Source organism: Homo sapiens, chromosome 18 (genome assembly GCF_000001405.40).
Source record: "Homo sapiens chromosome 18, GRCh38.p14 Primary Assembly".
Classification (NCBI taxonomy): domain Eukaryota; kingdom Metazoa; phylum Chordata; class Mammalia; order Primates; family Hominidae; genus Homo; species Homo sapiens.
In genome coordinates, this window is record NC_000018.10 from 26626352 (window position 1) to 26652360 (window position 26009).

At 43.2% G+C, this 26009-nt stretch overlaps 1 protein-coding gene across 2 annotated transcripts in view, besides 1 other annotated feature; it reads right to left on the minus strand.

Annotated features, from left to right (window-relative positions):
• The window catches only part of KCTD1 (potassium channel tetramerization domain containing 1), a 202564-nt gene that overhangs the window by 171442 nt on the left and 5113 nt on the right, over positions 1-26009 (minus strand). Inside the window, exons 1-2 of one of the 2 annotated variants that reach the window (NM_198991.4) lie at positions 13960-13993; positions 2796-2886 (exon numbers count right to left, since the gene is read on the minus strand). The exons of the other annotated variant lie outside the window; for it this stretch is intronic. The gene's annotated coding sequence lies outside the window, so the exon portion shown is untranslated. Of the gene's footprint in view, positions 1-2795; positions 2887-13959; positions 13994-26009 lie in introns of those variants that run through there. 2 annotated transcript variants of the gene reach the window in all.
• Positions 24663-25164: an enhancer, noted in NCBI's record as "NANOG hESC enhancer chr18:24230978-24231479 (GRCh37/hg19 assembly coordinates)". NCBI's record gives its function as "activates a minimal SCP1, AML or CMV promoter by ChIP-STARR-seq in naive H9 embryonic stem cells {active_cell/tissue: H9 hESC(naive)}" and the evidence as "EXISTENCE:reporter gene assay evidence [ECO:0000049][PMID:30033119]".

Genomic DNA, 26009 nt, shown 5'->3' on the forward strand with positions numbered 1-26009 from the left:
AGATAACTTTATCTATTGGTAAGTTCAATGAAGAAAACAACAAAATGATAGAGACAGCTTGGGCAGAGGGATGGCTACTTTAGATCTGGGAGTGAGGGAAGGCTTCCCTGAGGAGGTGATTTTTTTTTTTTTTTTTTTTTTTGAGGCAAGGTCTTGCTCCATCACCCAGGGTGGAGTGCAGTGGTGCAATTACGGCTCACCACAGCCTCCACTTCCTGGCTCAATTAATCCTCCTACCTCAGCTCCTGAGGGGCTGGGACCACAGGCACGGGCCACCATGCCTGGCTAACTTTTTTGTTGTTTGGTTGAGACAGGGTCTCTATATGTTGCCTAGGCTGGTTTTGAATTCCTAGCCTCAAATGATCCTCCCTCTTTGGCCTTCCAAAGTGCTGGGAATATAGACACGAGTCCCTGTGCCCAGCAGGAAGTAATATTTAATAAGAAACAAGACCTATCCATGGGCAGATGAGGGGGAAGAAGATTTCAGGCAAAGGGATCAGCCAGTGCAAAGGCTGTGCAATGGGAAATTGCCTGGTGGATTACAAGAACAGAAAGGAGCCACTACGGCTGAACAAAGGGCATGAATAGCAAATAATGGTATCAAATAAAAAGTATGGAATAATGATGCTTGTTCCTCTTTCTTAATTACATCCCCCTCTTTCTAAACATCTTTTGAAGATTTCAAGGCCTAACTTATGCCCCACCTCCTTCTTGAACTCTCCCTGACTGAGCTAAGAATCACTTCTCCTTTGTACTAATGAGTTCCTGGGCTCTCCCCTCCTTTGCACCTGGAAACTGGAAATTGGAAAGTAGCTCCCATGTACTGTCTTCTACAGCTTTTGATTTTTTTCTTATGATTTTGTTGACTCTCCTCAATTTGATTCTAGTCTTTGAGACAATCTTCTGGGTTTTGTGTGTGTGTGTGTGTGTGTGTGTGTGTGTGTGTGTGTGCCTATAACAAAAGCTTAATGCCAGTAAGCCTAACTGTTGTGAAAACACACCAAGCTTCTAGATTTACTGTTTCGCTACCAGGGTGCATTTGAAATATTAGATTGAACCATGTACAATTGTCATTCATTGTGGGGTCAAAAATATCAAGCATCAGCATTGTCATATGGCTCAACACACACTAAAACATCATTTTAAATGACAATATAGTTCAATTGTGCAACTAATTATCCCAATGCATTGGTCATGGTTCCAGAAAAATTCTCTTTTTGGAACCTGGGTCCTCTAAGGAAATGCTCTGTTGTAATGAAGCTATGTATCTTTGGCCACCTGACTTCCCTTAAATTAGTTGTTTGCAGCAAATAATTAAAACAGCAACAATAAACAACACTATGCAATTTAGCATTTGTTTTCATTTAGGCTTAGATGCTGCATTTGAATTCTATGATGTCATTAGTTTTTAGTGATACAATTTGAGGAAAGCAATGGGATATTAGTACATATGTGACCTTAGTCAAGAAATTCCTGGCCACTCTTAATAGAAGCCATGACTGTACCTAGTTATCCATAAAGGAAGAATCCACCTGGTTCTTGCTGTAGGAACTTGGTGGTGGAACTGCTTTACCATGCCTGACTGGAAGAAGACAAGCCAGAGCCCCCAGGGATCTGCAGGCTGCCGGGAGGTTGCCTTGGCCCCCACCCCAGTTCCCACCATGTGATCTGCCAGGAGTGGTGAAAATTATAACCTTCCCTGGGCTAGAGGCCCTCCTTTCCCTCCAAAATGGTAAAGTGGCCATATAATTTACTTTTGTTTTATGAGTCTGTGTTCTCTATGTAAGATACATGTTTCAGAGTTAATCATTTATTTTTCATCCAGACTAAAACATTTATATAAGCCTTTGGACCTCAATCTTCTCACTTGTAAACAGGACCTAGACTAAATATTTCTAAGGTCATTTTTGGTAACAGGCCATGTGGTTGACCAATGACATTTTCATTGGTAAGATATTAATGCATCTATAATACACACACACACATGCACACACACACACACAGACCTTTTTTCATAGATCTGATTTTTATCATAATTCCCATGTACCATTTCCATGCAAGTTTCTTTTAAAAAGTGGAAATAAATCTTCTTACGGGCAATTCACATTTTGTGAACAACTTCATTACAGCTCAACCAAATTTCTTCAAACATGCCAAAGGCACTAAGAAGGTCAACTTGAAAGTTCTAAAGGAAGCAGTTTGCATTTGGGAAATAAAATAGTAAAAAAAAAAAAGTGTCTGAGTGATTTCTTAAGTGGTGAAATCCCCCTTTTTTTGCCCTTTTTCTTGTGTTTTAAAAATAGCCTAAATTAAACCTTACTCAACTTTCTACAAAAAAAATATACCTTTAGGCTGAGAGACAGCATTAGAAATTTCATCCTAAAGAATTATTTTTGGGGAAGGGGTATGGGGTGGAGTTATAAGAGCCTGAAGATAGAGGCTTCTAATTAAATTGGCCTCTCAACCAGAACTGCAGAGTCTATGCTATAATCACCACAATTTGGTTTAAATCTGGGACAGAATGATAATTTTGTTAGTTCAGAGGTTTTTAAACTATGGCTCATAACTGCTGGAGAGTTTCCGATTACTCTTCTAGGTTCTGCAAGGCATGTGTATTTGCTGGGGGACCAGGGGACTTTTAGTAAATGAATAAATAGGAGAGATTTTTACAGTCTCAGGGAGTTTAAGTGGGTCTCAAGATGATCAGGAAGTGCTGGAGTTGTCTTTCTGGCTTTGCAGATGGCAACAAATCTACAACAAATTATGAGGGAGGAAGTGTGGAAGGGTTTTCTTACTTTTGGTGATGGATTTGCCTTTATTCATCTGCACCCTCCGTCCCAGTTGGTGTGCAGTGCAGGCTTGAGGAGAAAAAGCTAGTGACGGGAGCTGTAAAAGGAGAAAAGCGTAAAATTGGGCCAGCCCATGACCTTAGCCTCTGCCCTGCAAGCTAACCAACTGAGCTAACCAACCATAAGTGAAACAGATCATTCACTCCTTAATTTGTTCAATAATATTGATTGAATGCAATAAGTAAGTAAGGTGCAAGGTGCAGAAGATACCAAGGCAGAAGAGGTAGGCAGAGCCAGAAGTTTACACTCTTGAGGGAGCAGACATTCATGGATAAACATGCAGGTAAATGTTAATTACAATTGTAATAAGAGCTGTGATAGAAATGTCAAGGTTTCCCGAGAGCACAGAGCAGAGCAGCTGAGCCTAGTTTGGGCAATGGACCCTGCGAAAGGGACATTTACATTGCAACCTCAAAGATGAGGAGAAAAATGGACGAGGCAAAGTGTTGTGAGATCAGCATTCCAGTCCAAGGGACCAGCATGTGCAAAGTCCCTGAGTTGGGAAAGAGATTGACCCCCCCGCCTTTTTTTTTTTTTGACAGAATCTTGCTCTGTTGCCCAGGCTGGAGTGCAGTGGTGTGATCTCAGCTCACTGCAACCTCTACCTCCTGGGTTCAAGTGATTCTCCCACCTCAGCCTCCTGAGTAGCTGGGATTATAGATGTCTGCCACCATGACCAGCTAATTTTTGTATTATTAGTAGAGACGGGGTTTCACCATGTTGACCAGGATGGTTCTAACTCCTGGAGCTTGGCCCTTTCAAGGAACAAGAAAGAAGCCTCGTCTGTCCAGAGCAGTGGTTCCTGAGGTATAGCCCACAGAACCCTGGGGTCCCTTGAGACCCATATGAAAGATCAGCAAGGTCAAAACTGTGTTCATAATAATACTAAGGTGTTATTTGCTTTTTCACTGTGATGACATTTATCCGAATGGTGCAAAAGCAATGATGGGTAAAACTGCTGGTGCCTTCCTGCTAATACAGGCAACAGCAGCACACTACATGAGTGATCACTGTATCTTTCACTGCTGCACACCCCCAGTTTTTAAAAAAATCCAGTTTCACTTAACAAAGCAGTAAAAATTGTTAATTTTATTAAGTCTTGACCCTTGAGTATATGTCTTTTTTTGTTTTTTTAGAGGTAAGGTCTCACTGTCATCCAGGCTGGAGTACATTGGCACAATGACGGCTCACTGCAGCCTCAAACTCCTGGGCTCAAAAGGTCATCCTACCACAGGCTTCTGAGTAGCTAGGACTATAGGCATGCCACCATGCCCAGAAGCTTTTTAAGAATATTTTGTAGAAACAGGGTCTTGCCATGTTGCCCAGGCTGGTCTCAAATTCCTGGACTCTTAGGAATTTGAGAGGCCAAGGTGATCCTCCCACCATGGCCTCCCAAAATGTTGGGATTATAGGCATGAGCCACTGTGCCCAGCCCACGTCTGCTTAGTGTTCTGTGTTGCTGACTGGAAAGTATGTATAAAGTATTTTTGCTGCACACTGTGCTATGAAGATAATCTCAAGGAAAAGTACTTGTGTGGTTGAGTTGTGAGCTGCACTAGCCACTTTTTCATGGAACGCCATTGTTATCTGAAAGAGCAAGTGACAGACGAACTATGATCATTGAGTCTTGGGTAACTGGCAGATGTTTCCTTGAATGAAGGATGCTTATCACCTCAAGGAAAACAACTGGTTGCTGCTTTGAGACCTTCACTTGAAGCTCTTAAGTGAAAGTTTTAGAATTTTGGAAAACTTCCATCTGCAACTGCGATCTTGATATCCTCCCTACACTTATATATGCTTTTCTGATTAGATGGTGGTGATACTATTCTAGTTACCTGTCAGACAATAGAATCTCTCATTTTGCCACTGAAACTTACCAAAATCTCCTTTGTGAAAAACTATTTCATTTATAAATAAAGATACTGGAATTCTAAATAGAACAGAATCAAGCACCTTATCAATAAACCAGGTAGGGCTTATTCCAGGAATGCAAAGTATTTTCATAGCAGGAAATTAACATATCATTACATTCATGTATCACTTAACTATGGAGATATGTTCTGAGAAATGTGTTATTAGGCAATTTTGTCCTTCCTTGTTCAAACATCACTAGGTATATTTACACAGACCTAGCTTTTATAGCCTGCTCCACATTTAGGCTATATGGTATAGCCTATTGCTCCTAGGCCACAAACCTGTACAGCATGTTACCGCACTGAATACTGTAGGCAATAGTAACACAATAGTAAGTATGTGTGTATCTAAACATAGAAAAGGTACAGTAAAAATAAGGTATTCTAATCTAATGGGACCACTACTGTATATGTGGTCTGTCATTGACTGAAGCATCATTATACAATGCATGACTGACGGTACTTCAACAATTAAAGGAGAAAATTAATACAAACATATCAGTAAAAGATTATGAGGAATTAGAGGTCAACATAGCAGCTATTCCTAATAAAATTCTAACAAAAATATTACTATAAGGAAATCACTTACATAGAATAAAAATATTCCCAAAAAACCCTCCATTAAATGCACTACAACTTTAAAACCATTTCATGGCCGGGCGCGGTGGCTCACACCTGTAATCCCAACACTCTGGGAGGCCGAGGCGGGCGGATCACGAGGTCAGGAGATCGAGACCATCCTGGCTAACATGGTGAAACCCCGTCTCTACTAAAAATACAAAAAAAATTAGCCGGGCATGGTGGCGGGCGCCTGTAGTCCCAGCTACTCTGGAGGCTGAGGCAGGAGAATGGTGTGAACCCGGCAGGCGGAGCTTGAAGTGAGCCGAGATCGCGCCACTGCACTCCAGGCTGGGTGACAGAGTGAGACTCCGTCTCAAAACAAACAAACAAACAACAAAAAAAAACCATTTCATTTAAAATCAACATACAGGCCGGTGCAGTGGCTCACACCTGTAATCCCCGCACTTTGGGAGGCCGAGGCGGGCAGATCACTTGAGGTCAGGAGTTTGAGACCAGCCTGGCCAACATGGTGAAACCCCCTCTCTACTAAAAATACAAAAAATTAGCTTGGCATAGTGGCAGGTGCCCGTAATCCCAGCTACTCGGGAGGATGAGGCAGGAGAATTGCTTGAACCTAGGAGGCAGAGGTTACAGCAAGCCAAGATTGCACCACTGCACTCCAGCCTGGGTGACAGAGTGAGACTCCATCTTAAAAAATAATAATAAAATTAAAAAACAAAATAAATCAACATAAAGACAGGAAAGTTTGCTCTAACCATTACAATTTGACTTTGTCATGGAAGAGTTAGTGAATGCAATAAAAGGGCAGTAAATAACTGAAATAAACAATTGGAAAGAAGAAATAAATATTTTTGCTGATGATATGAAAATCTAAGAGATACTGAGTTTTTAAAAAAATTAGAATTAGTAAGAGAATACAAGAGTTTGAGGATACAGGATAATGACACATATTTTAGCTTTTATCTGTTCTAATGATAAGCATATAGAAGTGGAGAAGATGAAAATACCCTCTTCAGAAAATAGTGAACAAAAATAGCTAAGGATATAATTAATAATATAGCTACATCTATATGAATAAAATTCAATCTTAGTAAAGGTCTCAAAACAACGTCTGAACAAATGAAAAGATATATCAAGTTATTGGATATGAAAATGGAATATGGCATAAAATTATCAATTATTCCAAAGAAATATAGAAATTTTATGTAATTACAATTAGAATTGCAACAGTCTTGGGAGGGGGTAAGGAGGGGAAGGAACTGGATGAAATGATTTAAAATTTCATAAGGAATACATTTATTCACTTCAGAATAAATGCTCAGGAATAGCAGGAAAATAATAAAAAAGAACAGTGCAAGGGGAATTACCTTACGCAACATGAGAGGATATTATAAAGCTGTTATGAAGTAAATATGGTATTGGTATGAGAATGAGAAATAGATCAGTGAAAGAGAAAAGAGGATCTAGAAGTCTTGGATATGAGAATGTAATATACATCATATATCAAATGTGGAAGTTCAGTGTAGTGGGAAAATAATAAATTATTTCAAAAACAATACTGGCTCTTCATCTGAAATAAAGTAAAATTAAATCCCTGTTTTATACCATAAACAAAAATACATTCCCCAGAGAGTAAAGTCTTAACTGTGGACAACAAAACAAGACAAATTATCATAAAAGGAGGCTTCATGTATAATCCAAGGACAAGGAAACCTTAACAAGACTGGAAAACACAAGAGGCCATAAAAGAAACATATAGTTGACCATATCGTAAATGTGGTATGATCCCATAATACACACAATTATTATTTGTCAATTAAACATAAAATAAAATAATTACCCCCCCAAATGTGTACAGTATTAAATATTGTAAGCAAATTCAAAACACAAATGATAGATTTGGAAAAAATACTTGTAACCCAAACTGCAAAGAATGTACTTATATCATATAGAAAGAGATTTTATAATTTGTCAACTCAATAGAAAAATGATGAAGGAATAAGAAAAGGCAATTTATAGAAGCACAAAAGCAGAGAGTCAACAAATGTACAAAAAGATGCTTGAATTTACCATCGTTAGGGAAATGCAAATTAAAGTACTAATGAGACATCATATCTGCCTATCAGGCCTGCCAAAATTAAAGACAACTACAACAATATTACAAAGTTGAAATGTAAATTGTACAGCATTTTGGGGAAGTAACATGGCAGTATCTATTAAAATTTGAAATACACATACTCAGAAGAATAAGCAAACTGTGGTATATGCATACAACGGACCACTCAGCAATCAAAAGGAAAGAACTACGCTACACTCAACAGCATGGTTCAATCTCAAAAACATGCTGACAAAATAATCCAGATACAAAAGATTCCAGACTGTATGATTCCATTTATATCAAATTCTGGAACAGGGAAAACTATCTACAGTATTAGAATATATGTATCAGTATGTTTAAATATAGCATTATTCAGGGTGGCAAAAAAGTGGGAAAAAAATGAATCCTCATTAGTACAAAATGGGAAAATGAATCATGGTAGTGCACCTCTAGACTAGCACACTGCCAAGGAAAAAGGAAAGAATAGAGTTACACTGGTTGGCTTGGAGGGATTTCTATATGGTATGACTTATAAGTGAGTGCAGAAAAGCATTTATGATATAATCCATTTTGTGAAACAACGATCCCAACCTCCGTATCAAAATGTGTACACATATATATGCATGTGTGTGTTGTGGTCTGTACCTCATTATAGAAATACAAAGGAAAATATGGAAAATACATATCGGGCATGTTAGCATGAGTTACACGGGGAGGGGAGGGAAGGAAAAGAGTAAGAAAGGGGCATTGAGCTAAAAGACCGAGCTAAAAACAACAGTATGTATGATATGATTACATGTGCACATTTATATAATTAAAATTTATATTTATAGAGGATTACTTAAGTAAATGCTGTCAATCTTGTAGATATTTTAAATTTGGATTAAACTAGAACTTCAGAGCTCTGTAATTGGACTACATCATCTTGGTCCTTCTTTATTTTTACCGAATTGAACTTCAGCCCTCTCTATTTTACGGAGAAGAAACTAAAGCAGTAAAGCTTAATTGACTTCCCCAAATGAACACAGCTAGGAATTGGCCAACCATGGATCTGAATGCGGGCAGTCTAACTCCACAAACCACACACAACTCTGGCCATTTGCTAAACGCCCTCTGAGACTCTAGCAGAAGTGAGTGAGGCAAAATTTAAGGGGGTGCCAAGAGACTCAGAAAGCAAAAGAAACAGCATTTTAAAAATAATAAAATTAATGATAAAAATCCACATTGAACAAAAACATCAAAAATTTTAATGTAATTCCAGCTGCCTTGGAACCTTGTCTTTATTAACTTTTGATCTGTTTCTCATTATGGCTTTTTTTGCATTAATTTTTATTTCAAAAAATATTGCATTAAAATATTATTTATCTCAATTTCTGAGTTTTTTCTTGTCCCTTAAATGTTGTGCTGGACCTGTTTGTCTCTACCGTTTGGCCACCAAGTGACACTAAGCAAAACCTGTGCATCTCAAAGGCTGTTTTCTCTTCTATAAAGTAGGAATGATAAGAGTTTCCCTGCCCACTGTGCCCACAGGACTAGGGTGAGAAACTAAGAAGATATGAATACAGAATTGCTAGTGCAACAGGCATATTCTTGCTACTGGAGTTGCTCATGAATGGATAAGCAAGTTGAATCCCCAGACCTGGTCGTGCTCCTGCGCGCTTGGCGTGCCCACACCCATGGCTGGAAAATCGCCTGGAACCTAATGTTTGTTTGAATGGCAGCCGCAGGAGCCTTCACCCATCATGCACCCCTCTCTGCCGTTCTGAGCATGTGGTGCAAGAATGGATCTCTTAAGCTAGAGCAGTGCTCCTCTAACTTAACTGTGACACAGATCCCCCCAGGGATCTTGTTAAAAACCACATCAGTCAGTCCAGTGCAGGGCGCAAGGGTCTGCATTTCTAACAAGCCCCAGGTGATGCTGAGGTTACTGGTACACAAACCATAGTGCTTTGAGGACTAAGGAGCCAGACTAGATGCTTGGTGAGATCAGAAGGACTGTGAAATGCCCCCAAATAGTGACAGCCCTCTACACACCAGGCACAGTTGTGCACAATCCTTAAAAGAGCCCTGGGAGATAGGTTCTTTTATCATGAAGCCCCCCAACCAAAGACCATCAAGAACACACTTCTAGTCACGCCAGGGTAGATTAATTCAGCTTGCTGCAGCAAGTGAGGACACACACCAGGGAACTGCAGGAGGGTGTGGGAGGGGTTGTTATGGGGTTGGGGCTTGTGCTGGGAGAGTCTAAGGAGGGGTTAAGGAATGAGTGGACAGTTTTAGACTGAGTTCAGTCCAACAGCAAGGGCCATTTGACGATTGGGGGTATCTAGATAATTTGTCCAGGAGGGTGGAAGATTAAAGTGGGCTAGGACTGCCGTGAAGAGAGAAGCAATAGTCAAGTTAGTCAGAAGAGGGGGGAGTTTATGTTTGTGGTTGCAGAGTGCCCATCTGTCTATTTCATGGCGGTCTGGTTGCTGGTTTGTTCCCACAAAGTCATAGAGAAACACTGTCTGATTATTGTTTTTATTATGTGAGTGATGGTTATGTTCCCTTAGGAACATCACAGCTAGTATTGCCCTTCGACCTGAGCAAGCTGGGACCCTGTGCCTCTCAGGGCTCCTCACATTGCAGCAACTTCCTGGAATTTTCTAGGTCCTTCCCTGCTGCCTGAGACTGGCCAGAGCTGGCAGTGCCATCACACCAGGGTGCCCTGAGTCCCGACCGAAACTCCCATTTCTCCCATTGAGAGTGCTCTCTGAATTTCTATTGGGTTGGGGAAAAAGTAATCGCGGTTCTTCTTATTACTTTCAATGGCAAAAGCCACAATTACTTTTGCATCAACGAATACCTGAGCGTTGGGGTCATTGGATGCCCTCAGGACTTCACACTCACATGATCACCCATGGCCCTGTGTCTGGACACCTCTTCCAGGAGGGCAGCCTGGCGAGCGGCTTGAGCTGCCAGAATGGTCCTGCCACGCTTCAGAGAAACCCAAAGTGTTCATAAAGATGGGCCCCCACTAAAGTTATTTGCCTGGGGCCTGGACATCCAACAGCTGGACCCCATTCCAACCTAGCCGGCAGTTGCTGGAACTATTTTCATTTTCTTGAATATTATCATCCTCATTATACAGAAGAGGAAACTGAGGTTCCCAGAGGTTAAGCAACTCCCCTGGAATTCCACAGCAGAGAAGCGGTGAAGCGGGGATTCCTCCCACTGCTCTCACCCGCTGCGGTCCCTGCCATGACTCGCTCCCTCCAGAGCACCTCGGAGGGCTTCAGACCCCTCGTGTTTGTGCTCCATCTACTGCTGACGCTTCCAACACTGTGCCTAGTTTTCAAACTGTTTAAATTTTTTTGTTGTTTTTCCTGTGAGGTACTTGGAACTCTCCATGCATCTCCCATATTTTGTGCTTCCCCTCCTTCCTCCTCCTGACTCTATCGTCTCTGGATTGCTTCTGATTAGGTGCCTCCCATGCTCCTTCTGAACCCCGGGCCAGATTTGTCACAGGACAAAAGAACACTCCAAAGTGTAAACTTTGGCTTTATGTGAACCCCAGAGACTGTGAACAACGAAGAATGTTCTCTCAAATGGCAAGAGGACTATCCAGATTGCTGGGGGTGGTGCTGATGTGAGCTGCGAGGAGGAGGCGCTGGGTGTGTGGGCAGAAATGTGAAATGTGTTAAGGCTTCTATTATGGGGTCAGCCCACCTAGTGTGGTCACCCTCCCCTCTGCCGATTTCAAGAGCTGGAAACAGAGGGAAGTTAAGCCATGACTAAGAAGCCTGGCGTCCTTTCAGTGGAGAAAGGTAGCCCTGTCGCTTCAGTGGGATGAGGCCTGTTTCTTGCTGTTGGAGAAGATTCCAGAACACAAAAGAAGGCATGTCTCTGTGAGTTGATTCAGCGGTCGGCTCACCCTAGAGGCAGTGTCTCTAATGGGAGGAGCCTGGGCTTTGGGGTCCACTGACCTGGGCTGGAATCTCAGCTTTGTCAGTTTATTAGCTGTGCAACCTTGAGAAAGTTATGTGCCTCAGTTTTCTCATCTGAAGAGTGGAGACAATAATGCTTTCCTCAAAGGTTGTTGTGAGAATTGAATAAGAGGGTGTCAGTGCAGTGACTGGCACTTTGTGGCTATTGTTATCATTTTTGTAACGTTAGACCGTCTTAGCAAGGAGAGTCTGATTTTGTAGGCTGGCTCTCCTGGGTGTCACATCAAAGACTTAAGGAAATCTCTCCCATATATACATAGTTTGTCTTTAAAAAATCAGTTGCAAATTAATCATCTACCAGTATATCCAGGTCTTTTGCACTCACTGTACATTTTCAGCCTGTATCATACATGCAGGTAATAAAGTGCAAAAGCACCGCAGCTTGTTATGTAATAGAGCATCTTTCATTTATCCAGAAACTCCCACGCTTCACAGTTCAATGTCAAATCAGTCCAAGTTCATTCTATTCATAACCTTCATAACTTCCTAGAAGACACTTGAATATCTTCTTTTCCTCCTTTAATATTTTATTTATCTCCCACCAAAATTTTTCCAGTAGTTAAAAAAAAAAGTCTTAAAATACAACTGCAAAACTATTCCAGGCCTAAGCACAGCATACAATTCATTTTTTAACCTCAGCATTTCTGAAGGCCAAGAGATCTGCTGGCTGTTCAAGCTGTAGCAGCAGCCGCAGTGGAGGAGGCTTAGTTAGCAGCCCCCATTTTGGGGTCAGTTGTGTCAGGTTTGAATCACGTCTCTACTGCTTAACAGTTAGCTGTGTGACTGTGTCTCACATTAGGTGGCTACGACATTCGTATTGGTCACAGAGGCTGGTGGTAGTCATTGGATGTGTCTGGGGAAGTGCCCGGCAGGGCAGCAAAGGGCAGGTGGCTAGGAACAGGAGCTGTGGGAGCTCTTGGTGCTGTCTTCAACAGCCAGTCCACCTGAGAACAAGACCTCACCCCTTTTGATTCAACTACAGCCAACTGCCTCTTTCCTGACTTTCTGACCTCTGCACATTATTCATTTTGCATAATATTATTGCCCATATCTGCTCCTAAAAATGTTGCTTTTATCATGCTGTCCTTAAAAAAGTCTTGCAAAATTCCCTCTTGCTCTGTCTTGTTTTTAGAGTCCTGCATGCAACAGCCTCCGTTCCTTCTTTGCCTCTCCATCCCTCTATCTCTCTTCAAACCTCAGAGGATTCTACAGATGTCTGGAGATGCCCACGGGACTGCGGCCCAGCCTGGAGACTTAGGGAGCTCTCGGTCTTGGTGAGCAATGCATGTTGCCCCAGAGTCCCCTGGGGAGAAACATCTCCCCACAGAAAAGCTGGGTTCTGAACCATGGAGATTGCTTGAGTCCAGGAGTTCCTAGTGTGAACAGGGGTCTCATTGAGCAGTAGTGAAGTCAGAAGAGCTGAGAATCTCTGCGAAGTAAGGACACAAGAAAAAGAGAAGACGATGCAGGACACAGCATCTGGGAGCAAAGAAGTCTGGAGAAGCCGGAGCCTAGAGTGCAAGTGAGGCAGTGGGAGGAGTCGCCAGTCTATCTGGCTGAGGTCAGCAGATGCGGGGCTCCCGAAGCCGGGCCCAGGGCTTTGGTTCCTATCTTGTAGGCAGTGGGAGGTTATTGAACCTTTTTAAGCAAGGATGTAACATCATGTCATATCCAAAGAAAAGATCAGTTTAATGGTTGTAAAAGGATTTCATGGTTATTATAGAGAATTGGAAAAATAAAGAAAAAAATGAGAAAATAAAAATCCTAGGGCCCAGAGTTAAACGTTATTGTGTAACAATACAATAATGATAAACATTATCAATAACATTATTGTATTCTTATTATCTCTCTCCCCCATCCCATCGTAGTTATTGTGTAATGGGCGCTGATTATGTGCCTGGCTCCGTTACAAAGATTTGCTTTGTTTAATCCTCACAACACCGCTGTGCTGTAGGTCAAATGCTGATCCACGTTTTCAGATGAGGATATGTTCAAACCCTGGGTCGCATAGTTGGAAGCAGCAGCGTAGGGGTCTAGGCCCAGATAATCGGGCTCCAGCACCTGTATTCCGAATCCTTGGGCCACACTGCTGCTTGGGGATCACACAGCATAGAATCAATACACACGTGCATCAGTAGATGGCCAGTTTTGTTTAAGATAGAGTTTGGCATCCTAATATTCTGAACTGGGTTGTCAAAAGAGAATTTTGGTAATAGCAGGAAGGAGCTTGTGTTGGTGGGGAGTGGTTTACAGGGAGGAGGTAGGTGGGACAAGCGTGGTGGCCACGGCAATGGTCCAGAGAAGAGAGGTCTAAAGGAAAAATTCCAGTGGTCCAGAGGAGAGAGGGTAGATGAGTAAGTGTAGAGAATGAGAGTGTGGCTGCAGTGGCTCATGCCTGTAATTCGCACTTAGGGAGGCTGAAGTGGGAGGATTGCTTGAGCCCAGGAGTTCGAGACCAGTCCGGAAAACATAGTGAGACCTCATCCCTCCAGAAAATTTAAAAATGATCTATTCATGATGCCTCCCACCTGTAGTCCCAGCTACTGGTGAGGCAGGTGGTGGGGTAGCTGAGGTTCCTGGGAGCTGAACCTGGGAGATTCAGGCTGCAGTGAGCCGTGATGGTGCCCCTGCATTCCAGCCTGGGTGACAGAGTGAGACTCTTGTCTCTGAAAAACAAACAAACAAACAAAAAGGAATGACAGTGAGAGGGGATGGGGGCATGGAAGTAGGAATGACCTTGATGAGTCTGTGTGTGAGCAAATGCATAGGCACCATGATGCATCTGCACATACACGTGTCTGTGTGTGTCCAGGAGGGATTGAGGGAAAGAAAAGAATCAGGAAAATCATGGGGATTCTGTACTGAGCACCTGAGCACTTATAGGAGGGAGAAATGTTCAGGACAGGAGGAAGGTGAGGAGTTTACTTTGGGACCTTATAAGAGTGTGTGCTGTCTGTCAAGTGGGGGTGTGCACTGGGCAGGTAGACACACGCAGGCAGAAAAACAGAATGGAGTCAGCTGCACTGGTTTGTTCTAAAGTCAAGGAACATGAGGTTCCCTGGGAAGAGTGGTCAAAATAGAAAGAGGAGGCATCTGCGGAGGAAGCTTGGGGACACAGAGAGGACAAGGACGGCAGAGTTGGATGGTATCGTGGGATCTAGATCCGAGAGAGTAGCCAAGATCCCAGAAGCAGGGTGGATAGGAACAGGAAAGGGGGCTGAATTTGTGTTTCTCCTCCCCAAACTCCTGTTTCTGCCAGACTGATTTCTTACTTGCCTTTTAAAATCGTTTTTACCTGCAGTTCATCTCACTGTCCCAGCCTGGCTTGCTGTGTGTGTATGTAAGGCCTGTTTATACCCTCACCTCCTCCAGGAAGCTTTCCCAACCCACTGGCCACTGGGCCTTGTACTTTGTTCAAGTTCCCTGCCCCGCTGTCATTTACCACGTTTCCCCCAAGATTCCAAACATCTGGGGGCAGAGCCTTTGCCTCCCTTGTAGCGCCACGGTGCCTCAGAACCAGGTGCTGATTAATTGGTTGCTTGTAACCCACAGCATAGAGTGTAATATTTTACTTGTATAGTTTGGATTTTTTAAAGTATTCTTTCTCTAGACACCAGAAGCTCCTCTGCCCTTTTTAGCTCAGACACAGCTTTGTGAATGCTTCCCATGGCATATTCTTTCCTGTTGGGCTAGCATTTTGCTACTCTTCACAGGCAGCCCAAGAGTGAATTTTCACCTTCTGTTCAGTTTCCTTTTTTCATTTCCCCACTGGTCTCCATTGCAGTAAGCCTCCCACCCCTCTTATCCCCAAGTTATGACAACCCCCATCCTAGAACCCCTGGTGCAGTCCGTCTGGCATGCCATATTTGCCTAGCTGTTTAACTCTTTGTAGGTATTCATTGATCTGATGGGGTTAGGTGGGCAGAGCCTGTTCCATGCCCCTTCTTTAGGCACAAAATCAGTGCCTAAAGTGACATTTCAACCAGCCTTCTAGACAACTCTAATGGCAGGTATCAGATCTCGAGATGAGCTTCACCATTTCACCTTGGGTTCCTTCAAGACTCATAGGTTCCATTTAGAGCCAGAAGGAATCTTCACTCATATACACATGCATATGTGTACAATACATATGCATATGTATATTTATATGATGAGGACCAGTAATAATTATACTGACAATGGCACTGATGACAATGACTACCATGTTCTGAGCACTTACTACATGCCGGGCACTATGCAAAGTGCTCTCTAGATGTTGCTCTATTTAATCCCCTCTTCCCTGCCTGACACTTTTCCATGCCCTATGGAATTGGGCTTGATCTTAAATCACTGCAATGCTGGGTGGGTTTTTTTGGCTTTCTTTGTGGGGATGTGACAGACTCGACCCAGGAACTCTTTGTAATCAGTGCAGGAGCTTTGGAGGAAATCCACAGCAGTGGAAGTGAATGTCCTAATCCTGCCTCATCTCTATGTCTTATCTTCTCTCCTTAGAGCGAGTGACCACTGCCCTGGATGCAAAATGTCCACTTGGGGAAGCAATGACACTTGTCCCCTCCCAGAAATCGGTGCCTCTCGGGCGTGTCCTGTGATAATATTCCACTAAATAAGCAATGGTTGATGAGACTCTAATTAATTAAAAAGAGAATACAAAAGTTTAGCAGGGAAAATTTCCTGAGAAAGAATAAACCAGCTTCCCAATTTTGATTTTTAGTTCTGCTTAGGGCTATTACCATTCAGTTGGAAAGTGGTAGGAAACCAACAGTGTTGATGTTGAAAAATACAAACTAGAGCACTAACTAATCTCTATTTCCCTAAGTCATTCAAAAAAACTGTTAAGGAAGTAAAAAAGGGAACTTCACTGAGAAATATGTTGGATTCAGTGACAGGCAGAGATTACATTTGGTGTTTGAGGTCAGTTAAGTAGCGTGAAACACTGAAAGACTGCAGAGGTTGCGATCCCAAGAGAAGTTAAAAATAAAACCTTTAGAGCATGTTCCATTCTACGTTTTGTAATGCTGTCCCATTTTGAAAAGGCGTAAGAATGCACTAAATGAACACACTAGAAGGAAATGTAATTTGAAAAGTACAACCTGCGGGGAGGGTGGGAGGGCGGAAGGTGTGAGAAGCCAGATGGCGGTGGGCGGAGGGGCGTGCACTGGCGTGAGGGGAGGCAAAGGGAAGTGGAAGCAGGAGGCAGGGAGGTTCTGTTTTGTGTTGAAGGATGGTGTGTTAGTGAGTTCAGGCTGCCATAACAAAATAGCACAGACTGGGTGGCTTAAACAACAGAAATTTATTTCCCACGGTTCTGGAGGCTGGGATGTCCAAGATCAAGGAGCCAGAGAAGCAGATTCTGGCAGGGCTCTCTCTCTGGCTCGCCGACAGCCACCTTCTTGCTGTGTGCTCACACAGCCTCTTCTTTGTGTGAGAGCAGATAGAGACTGAGTTATCTGGTGTCTCTTCTTATAGGAACACTAATATTATTAGATCAGGGCCCTACCCTTACGAACTGGTAATTACTCTTAATTATGTCCCCAAAGTCCCTATCTCTAAATACAGCCACCATGGGGGTGGGGTTTCAACATATGAAATTCGGGGGTACACAAAAAGATGCGTTGTTCAACAGATGGTTGTAGGCTACAGGAAGGGGCCAATGGAGACAGGAAAGACAAGATGTTAGAAGGGACAACAAGAAAGAAAGACAGGATTAGTAGAGCCATGGTGGAGACTTGGTGTCAGGAATAGAGGGAGTGGACATCTCAATAAGTCAGGAGGCAAAATTATCTGATAAGTGGGAATGAGTTTGGAATTTGGGAAGAGTAAAGAGATCTAGAACAGCCTCCGTGGGGAATGAAATAAGAAGTTAGCTGGGTACTGCCAGGCAATATCAAGGGGCCTGCTGGCCGGGTGCGGTGGCTCACGCCTGTAATCCCAGCACTTTGGGAGGCCAAGGCGGGCATATCACGAGGTCAGGAGATGGAGACCATCCTGGCTAACACGATGAAACCCTGTCTCTACTAAAAATACAAAAAATTAGCCGGGCTTGGTGGCGGGTGCCTGTAGTCCCAGCTACTCGGGAGGCTGAGGCAGGAGAATGGTGTGAACTCAGGAGGCGGAGCTTGCAGTGAGCTGAGATAGCACCACTGCACTCCAGCCTGGGTGACAGAGTGAGACTCTGTCTCAAAAAAAAAAGGGGGCCTGCTAAGGTGAGCTAACATGACTGCCACCCAGAGATCAGCTTACACATCACCTCTTTATGGAGGTCTCACCTGCTTTAATTTTTTTGCATAGCACTTAATCCTATCTGATTTGGTTCTCATCCCCGTTTCCCCTAGAAAGTACACTCTGTGAGACCTTGGATTTTTTGCCTTGTATTTCTAAGGCTTAAAGTAGTGCCTAACATAGAAAAAGCCATGTAAATACTGGATGAATGGATGGATGTTGTAATGGCAGCAGGAAGAATTATGTGACAATCCACCAGTGCCACTCAGGGCCTCAGGATCAAAAGTGAGGAAAAAGGAAGGTTATCAAGGACCGACCGTTGGCAAGACAGAAAAGACAGAGAGGTCAAGGTGATGAAAGAGTTAAGGGTGGCAGTGAGAATGCTGTGGAAACAAGTGTCCACTGAACCCAGGCTGACTAAGGAGGGAGAGTTGACAAGGAAGACAAGCAGTGGGGGTGAGTAAAGAGGAAGCAGGGGGCAGGTGCGGTGGCTCACACCTTCATCCTGGCATTTCAGGAGGCCAAGGCGGGCAGATCACCTGAGGTCTGAAGTTCGAGACCAGCCTGGCCAAATGGTGAAACCCTGTCTCTACTAAAAATACAAAAATTAGCTGGGTGTGGTGGTGGACATTTGTAATCCCAGCTACTGGGGAGGCTGAGGCAGGAGAATCACTTGAACCTGGGAGGTGGAGGTTGCCGTGAGCTGAGATTGCACCATTACACTCCAGCCTGGCAACAGAGTGAGACTCTGTCTAAAAAAAAAAAAGAGAGAGAGAGAGAGAGAGAAAGAGGAAGCAGGGAAGGGACTGCAGACTGCACTGAGGTTGAAAAGCAGGCTTAGTGGGAACAGTTGGAGAATAATATACTCTGGTCAACAGAATGCCAGGAGTGGGAGATTGCTGAGCTGCAGAGATGCCAAGTGATGCAAACAGCCAACCTGTGTCCATGACAGTGGGTTGCCCACATGAAGCAGAAGTGAGGGGTACTGAAGTTTAGCCCATCAAGGCACTGCAAAATAGGGCAGCCTTCCCTAACGTGTATGTTCCAAGAATAGTAATTCTGAGAGTTAAATTGTACTGACAGAATAAAGGGCTCTGTGGTCAAATAACTTTAGAAAATCTAAGTTAGAAAATGGATTCCCCATATTGCAAGACTTCTATAAATCTTCAAAATACTTCAAAAGGCTTCAAAAGAGGGTATCATGTTTCCCAGGGTTATTTGACTGACTAATCCTTTTTTATTTTTTAGAGATAGGGTCTCACTATTGCCTGGAGTGAGACCCCATCTCAAAAAAATAAAGTGCAGTGGTGTGATCATAGCTCACAGCAGCCTCAAAGTTCTGGGCTCAAGTGATCGTCCTGCCTCAGCCTCCTGAGTAGCTAGGATTACAGGCACATAAATCCTTTTATGTTTCTCTTTGAGACAGGGTCTCGCTCTGTCACCTAGGCTGGAGTGCAGTGCTGCAAACATAACTCACTGCAGCCTCAACCTCTTGGGCTCAAGCAATCCTCCTCCCTCAGCCTCCAGAGTAGCTGGGATTACAAGCATGCACCCCATGCCTGGTTATTATTATTATTGTAGAGATGAGGTCTTAATATGGTGCCCAGACTGGTCTCAAACTCCTGACCTTAAGCAATCCTCCCACCTTGGCCTCCTAAAGTGCTAGGTTTACAGGCATGAGCTGCCGTGCCCACCTGTGTGAATCCTTTTTTATTTCCCTCCAGGAGCATCTCTAGGGTCGACTTTACCCCTAAAACAGAGGTTCTCAAAGTGCGGTCCCTCGGACAGCAGCATCAGCATCCATTGGGAACCTGCTAGAAATGCAAATTCTCAGGCCTCACCCTAGACCTATCTAATTGAAAACTCTGGGAATGGAGCCAGAAATCTGTGTTTTAACAAGCTCTGCAGACAATTCTGTTGTATACTAAAGTTTAAGAATGACTGAGCTAGAAAATACTTTGGGAAGGCTGATTCATATTCATATGTGGAAAAGACTATTTGGTAAGGGGTTGGATAAGTCTTTCATATTAATGCTGAAGTCATATAGTAAGACTGCAGAAGTTGAAATGGAGAAGAAAAATATGAGTCCAATAGTAATATGCAAATTAAGATTGCAATATTTAACACTAGCCTAATTAATACATCAAGTCAATATATTAACAAAAATGATATTGGATTGACTATTCCTTTGGATTTTTCATGCTGTTACGTCCCTCTGTTAGCATGGATCAAGAGCTGACTCCTTTCCAATATACTTTGTCAAGTTGTTAGGGGGAGCAGGAGGGAGAAAGAAAGAGAAACGGATTTGAAATGTGTTTCCTTTCTTTTCTTTTTCTCCATCCTTTGACGGAGGCACCAAAAAAGTAATTATGAGGCCAAAAAGTAGACAACAGTAAAAAGCAAAGAGAGAAGATAGAGCGTATATAAACTATATCATCAGCTCTTGAATAACCAAACTTATCAGAAGATATAATTTTCAGGTGTTAAAAATGTATCTGTCATGCTCCTTAGCAGAATAATTTGGAGACGTTCTTACCAGACATTTATAGTTTGCAGAAGAGCTGTCAAAAATAACTCAGCTATATGAACACTTCAACTGTACAATGAAAAAAAAGTGTGACTCTAAAAGGAATCTGGGTGCATGTTTTCAAAAGTAAAATTTGAATCTCAGCCTAAAATCTAAAATGCATTTTGACTCAGAATTTTTTTAAGAGGGAAAAAGAAAGAAGACCCCTTGAACAATTATGCATAACTAAAATATTGAGCTTTTTAAATGATTTGAACTTCAGCTAGAAACATTCTGTTTCTAATGCATTTTGACATAAAGACATCAGAAGTGAAAGAATAGCATGTGCAAAGATTTGCATGAACACAAAGGTTTAATGGGAAGAAAAAAAAATAAGAAATGCCCCTGATTTCTTAAGGTGGAAGTGTGCAGAATTTCCTTTGTCTTTCACTCACTCAACCCTGGCTCACCTTGCAGCAATATACATGATTGGTCAGGTCTCTGTGACTCCACTGGTCTTGAACTCCTGTGGCTATTTCTACTAAGTGGGGATGAGCTAGACTGGAGCAGGTCTAGATAAAGATCTGTTTTTCCTATAGAAAACCACCTGCACTTCTTACAGAGCTAGTGTGACTTATACAACCTTTGAATGACTCACTTTTCAGATACTTTGGATCTTTGAAATATAATATTCTCAGCCACTAAAAAAGACTGAATTCAGCTAGGCACGGTGGCTCACGCCTGTAACCCCAGCACTTTGGGAGGCTGAGGCGGGTGGATCACGAGGTCAGGAGTTCAAGGCCAGCCTGGCCAAGATAGTGAAACCCCCCCCCCATCTCTACTAAAAATACAAAAATTAGCTGGGTGCGGTGGCAGGTGCCTGTAATCCCAGCTACTCAGGAGGCTGGGGCAGGAGAATCACTTGAACCTTGAACCCAGGCAGCGGAGGTTGCGGTGAGCCGAGATCATGCCGCTACACTCCAGTCTGGGAAACAGAGTGAGACTCCATCTCAAAAAAAAAAAAAAAAAAAAAAAAAAAAAAAAAAAGGGCTGAATTCTGAAATTTTGGCCTCATTTTGAGAGTTGTCTCTTCTACCAAACTTCATTTGTGCAGACTGCATTAAGTAGGGTCCAAAGTCCTTAGACTCCAGATCCTAAAACCTGCCTTCCATCCCAGACTTGGAATGGCATTTCTGATAAGGGAGAGACCAATGTAGTTCATACTGCAGGTGAATTTCTTTGACCATTGTGAGTTCCTGGAACTCACGGACAAAGGAGCTGGCCCTCATAGGTGATAGCCGTTTAACAAATCACCTAGATCTTTTTTTTTGTTTTGTTTTGTTTTTGGAGACAGAGTCTCATTGCTCTGTTGCACAGGCTGGAGTGCAGTGGCATAATCTCGGCTCACTGCAACCTCTGCCTCCCAGGTTCAAGTGATTCTCCCGCCTCAGTCTCCCAAGTAGTGGCTGGGATTACAGGCGTGCACCACCATGCCTGTATAATTTTTTTTGTATTTTTAGTAGAGACGGGGTTTCACCATGTTGGCCAGGCTGGTCTCAAACTCCTAACCTCAAGGGATCCACCCACCTCGGCCTCCCAAAGTGATGGGATTACAAGTGTGAGCCACTGTGCCAGGCTTTAAATCACCTAGATCTTCTTACCTCTTCATCAAATGATGATGGTGACTCTTAGGAGGAGAAAGCAGCGCTATAAATGGGAGTGGGACCAAACCAAATCTCTGCAGGCCATTCACCATTTCTGGAAATGGCTGTGAGGCTATAAATATCCAAGGGCTCCTGATGAAAATTTTAAAGAGCAAGACAATTTAAAAAATGTTTACATACCTTGTCATGTACAATGGGAGCATAAGCCCCATATACTCTCACTGCGGATTTCTCTTATCGCTAAGTCAGTTACAGAGGGACCCACCCTGTAGCATTTAAATAGATTGCAGTCCTCATTAATTTGTTTACCTGTATCCAAGAGTAAATTGGAGCAGAAGTATTTACACCTCTTTGGAATTACTTTATTGTGTTTCCTACTGAGTGGGCACAGAGTAAATATTTTTTCCTCATTTGTTAAGATGAGGAAGGTAATCATTCCCACCTTTATAGTGAACGTGAAAATATGAGAGGAGTTAAAATATGTAACGTTCCTAGCATATGGAAGGTGCTTAATAATTATTAGTATTAGTAATTACTAATCAGTATTAGAGGCAGCCGCACCTGGAGACTAAGAGCAAAGACTGGAAGCTTGAATGCACAGATCAACTCCTGGCTCAGCCACTCACCATATGTGAACCTGGGCAAGTTACTTTATCTCTCCGCACTTCCATCTCCTCATCTAAAACATGGGGATGCCAGTAATATCACCCTCTTAGGTGATGGATGAGGATTACACAAGTAATATCTTGCAAAGCCCTTGAAAAACAGTCTGGCACTTAGAGGCATTGTATTGGTGTTACATATTCAGTACTTACAACAACCCTCTGAGGTGGTTTTCCTCACCCACATTGTATAGATAATGAAACCAAAGCTTTGGGGTCACACAATTAACAGTGGGTCTCTATTTCTAAGCAACCAGAAGAACCAAGTCATTTCACGACCCCACATGAGAGGACTTCACATGGGTCTTCAGCAGCATAGACACTGTTCCATTCCCTGGCAGCACGTGACTGCCTAAGACTGGGTTATTATCTTTACTAGTATTCCTGATCACTTTTGGCATCAAGTGCTCTCAACCCAGAGCATGGTAGACGCTGGAGGTTAACAGCACTTTCTTCTGTTGATTTGATTAAATAAACAGGAAAGCAGGCCTCTTATGGTCCATATCTCTGGGAAACTGGCAGTAAGTGGATTGCACCAGATAACAAGGTCTGCTTTCTTTCTCCTCCCTGCCCCACAGCCCAGGAAGAAACAGACGGCTCGGAGGTGCTGATCCTTCCAGCTGTCCCCGTTGAGCCTCGGTTGTTTCGGTGAAGGAGCAAAGACAGCTTTTTTGTTTTTTTGTGTGTTTTTTTGAGACAGAGTCTTGCTCTGTCGCCCAGGCTGGAGTACAGTGGCGCAATCTCAGCTCACTGCAACCTCCGCCTCCTGGGTTCAAGCGATTCTTCTGCCCCAGCCTCCCGAGTAGCTGGGACTACAGGCACGCGCCACCACGCCCGGCTAATTTTTTTGTATTTTCGTAGAGATGGGGTTTCACCATGTTGGCCAGGATGGTCTCGATATCCTGACCTCGTGATCCACCTGCCTCGGCCTCCCAAAGTGCTGGGAAAAGGCAGCTTTTTAAAGCTGGCTGGGCTTTCCTTTTCCAGGAGAGAGAGGCAATGGTGAGAAACTAACAGCAAGACCAGAGGCGATTCCAAGTTTACTTGCCAATGTGTGTCACTGCCATCTGCTGGATGGAATGGGTATCAGACCGGGTCCCGTGTTTCTTCTCAGTGTTAATACGCAAATTCAGTGACTCCCATTGTGGGGGTTCAGAACCTAGTGGTGCATTTGCATCATTTCATAGCGTAAGTGTCTGCAGATTTTGGAAATCCCATGACAACTGTGCACAGGACGACCTCCACATGAGTAATCAAAAGGCAAAACAGGACCATCTTTGAGGCAACGTCCTACTTAGCATCAATGCTTCCCCAGATCAAATTTGATCTGTTCCCAAATGATTGATCTAATTGGTTAGAAAAAGCCCATAACCAGCAGGTGAGGGTATCTGGCAGAACTTGGGTCCTCTTGTCAATGGCAAAAAGTACTTACAGGGAAGTGAAATCAACATCTGGCTTTATTCTTGCGTCCCCTGAAATTATGTGTTCATGTATCCAACAGTTATTTATTGAGCACTTATCCTGTGTGCCAGGCACTGTATTAAGGAACTGAGAAAGCAAAGGTGAATAAACACAGTCCCTGCTCTTAACAATATATGGATATTTTCTGAGTGCTTATTTTGTGCTAGGCATATACATCCTGTTACATCTCATTTTATTCTCTGAACAACTCTAGGACTATTATTATCTCCTTTACAATGATCTCATATTATTACCTCATTTGTAGTTCAGAAAACTGAAGCTTAGAGAGATTCAGTAATTTAACCAAGAAAATACAGCACAGACAGAGATGGAGTGGGATTTGCATATGGGGTGGTGGGAATGGATGGGTAGGATAGAGAAGGATCAGTACCATGGACCAATGTAGCTTTTTCTCCCCCTCACATAGAAAGTCTGGGTCTTTTGTTTTACACACATTTTCTGTTCCATTGGCTACAAATTTCCAGCAAAGTGAAAGTGCTACAAAAACAAGTCAGTGATGATAGCAGTAGATGCTTTGGAAAGATTTATCAGGAAGAATATCCCTTCCTCTAGCCAGCATTTGAAATCTATCTCGTTAACATTCTCTTCAGTTCATAACTCTTCTTCTTAATAGCAGCGTTGGTGTCGGCAGCAAGGGCTGAATTGTTGTCAGTTCCCATTGGATAGAAAACAAATCCCTATTTTGGTCAGCATGACAGAGTACTTGTGAGCAAACGATTTGCTCAGCAAGAGATAGAGACCAATTCACATGTTCTGATCACAACAATCTCTCACAACAATCTCACACTGTTTTTGTTTTTTTTCTTTCTCTCTTGGCATAACAGCAGGGTGCTGGTGTGGCAGGGAGATACAGAGGTGGGGGCGAAGAGAGAACAGGAGGAATGGAAGCCGGTGGCAGAACAAGCAAGCCCTTTGCCAAGTGCCCTTGAAAAGGGCTTAAATAGTATGTCCTGGACAGAAAGGACTATGGGTGTAGATGAGAAAGCAGAACGGCTAATGGGGGCTAATGGCAGGGTTTTGTAGTCAGCCAGCTGAGTTAGAATCCCTGCTCTGCCACTAGCCTAGTCTTTGACTTCAGGAAACGGATATAACCTTTCTAATCCTCCAGGCAAGAGGAGGTACAGCTAGGGTTAGGGTAGGGGGAACACTGATGGAAGAGTCTGAGATCTATTTAGAAGGTAAAGTTGGCCGAGTGTGGTGGCTCACACCTGTAATCCCAGCACTTTGGGAGGCCGAGGTGGGCGGATCACTTGAGGTCAGGAGTTCGAGACCAGCTTGGCCAAAATGGTGAAACCCCACCTCTACTAAGAATAGAAAAATTAGCCGATCATGGTGGCGGGCACCTGTAGTCCCAGCTACTCAGGAGGCTGAGACAGGAGAATCGCTTGAGCCTAGGAGGGGGAGGTTGCAGTGAGCCGAGATCGAGCCACTGTACTCCAGCCTGGGTGACAGAGCAAAACTCGGTCTCAAAAAAAAAAAAAAAAAAGAAGAAGAAGAAGAAGAAGAAGGTAAAGTGTACAGAGTCTAATAAAGGGTTGGCCATAGGTGAACAAGAGAGAAGTGTCAAGTGGACACCGAGGTTTCGGGCATGTTACCTAGGGTGGGTGCAGAACAAGATGGGTGCAGAATACTACTTGCCTCACAGTCTTGTTTGGAGGGCTCAGGGAGATAGGTATTCCAGACGGCCTCTGCTACTTGTTCCCTAAATCTTAGCCATGGATGTTACCAGTGCCTGGGGTTTCAGAGGCAGCTGAGATAAGGTGAGACTGATATGGACCGAGGGACTGAGACAGCAGGGGCCAGACTTGGGGTGGCTCCTCCAGAGAAAGTGCCCTTTGGGGTTGATTGATACTACTTATATGCACTTCAGTTGGACATACTCTTATTTTTCCTCTTAACAATCCTGTAAGGCAGGTTAGAGAGATGACATCGTTCCCATTTTTATAGAGAAAAAGGAATAGGCCAAAATGATGGTTGTTTTTCCAACTGGAATTTGCCCTCAGGGCCATCCACATGAGAACCACCAAGAAAAGTAGCTTATGGAA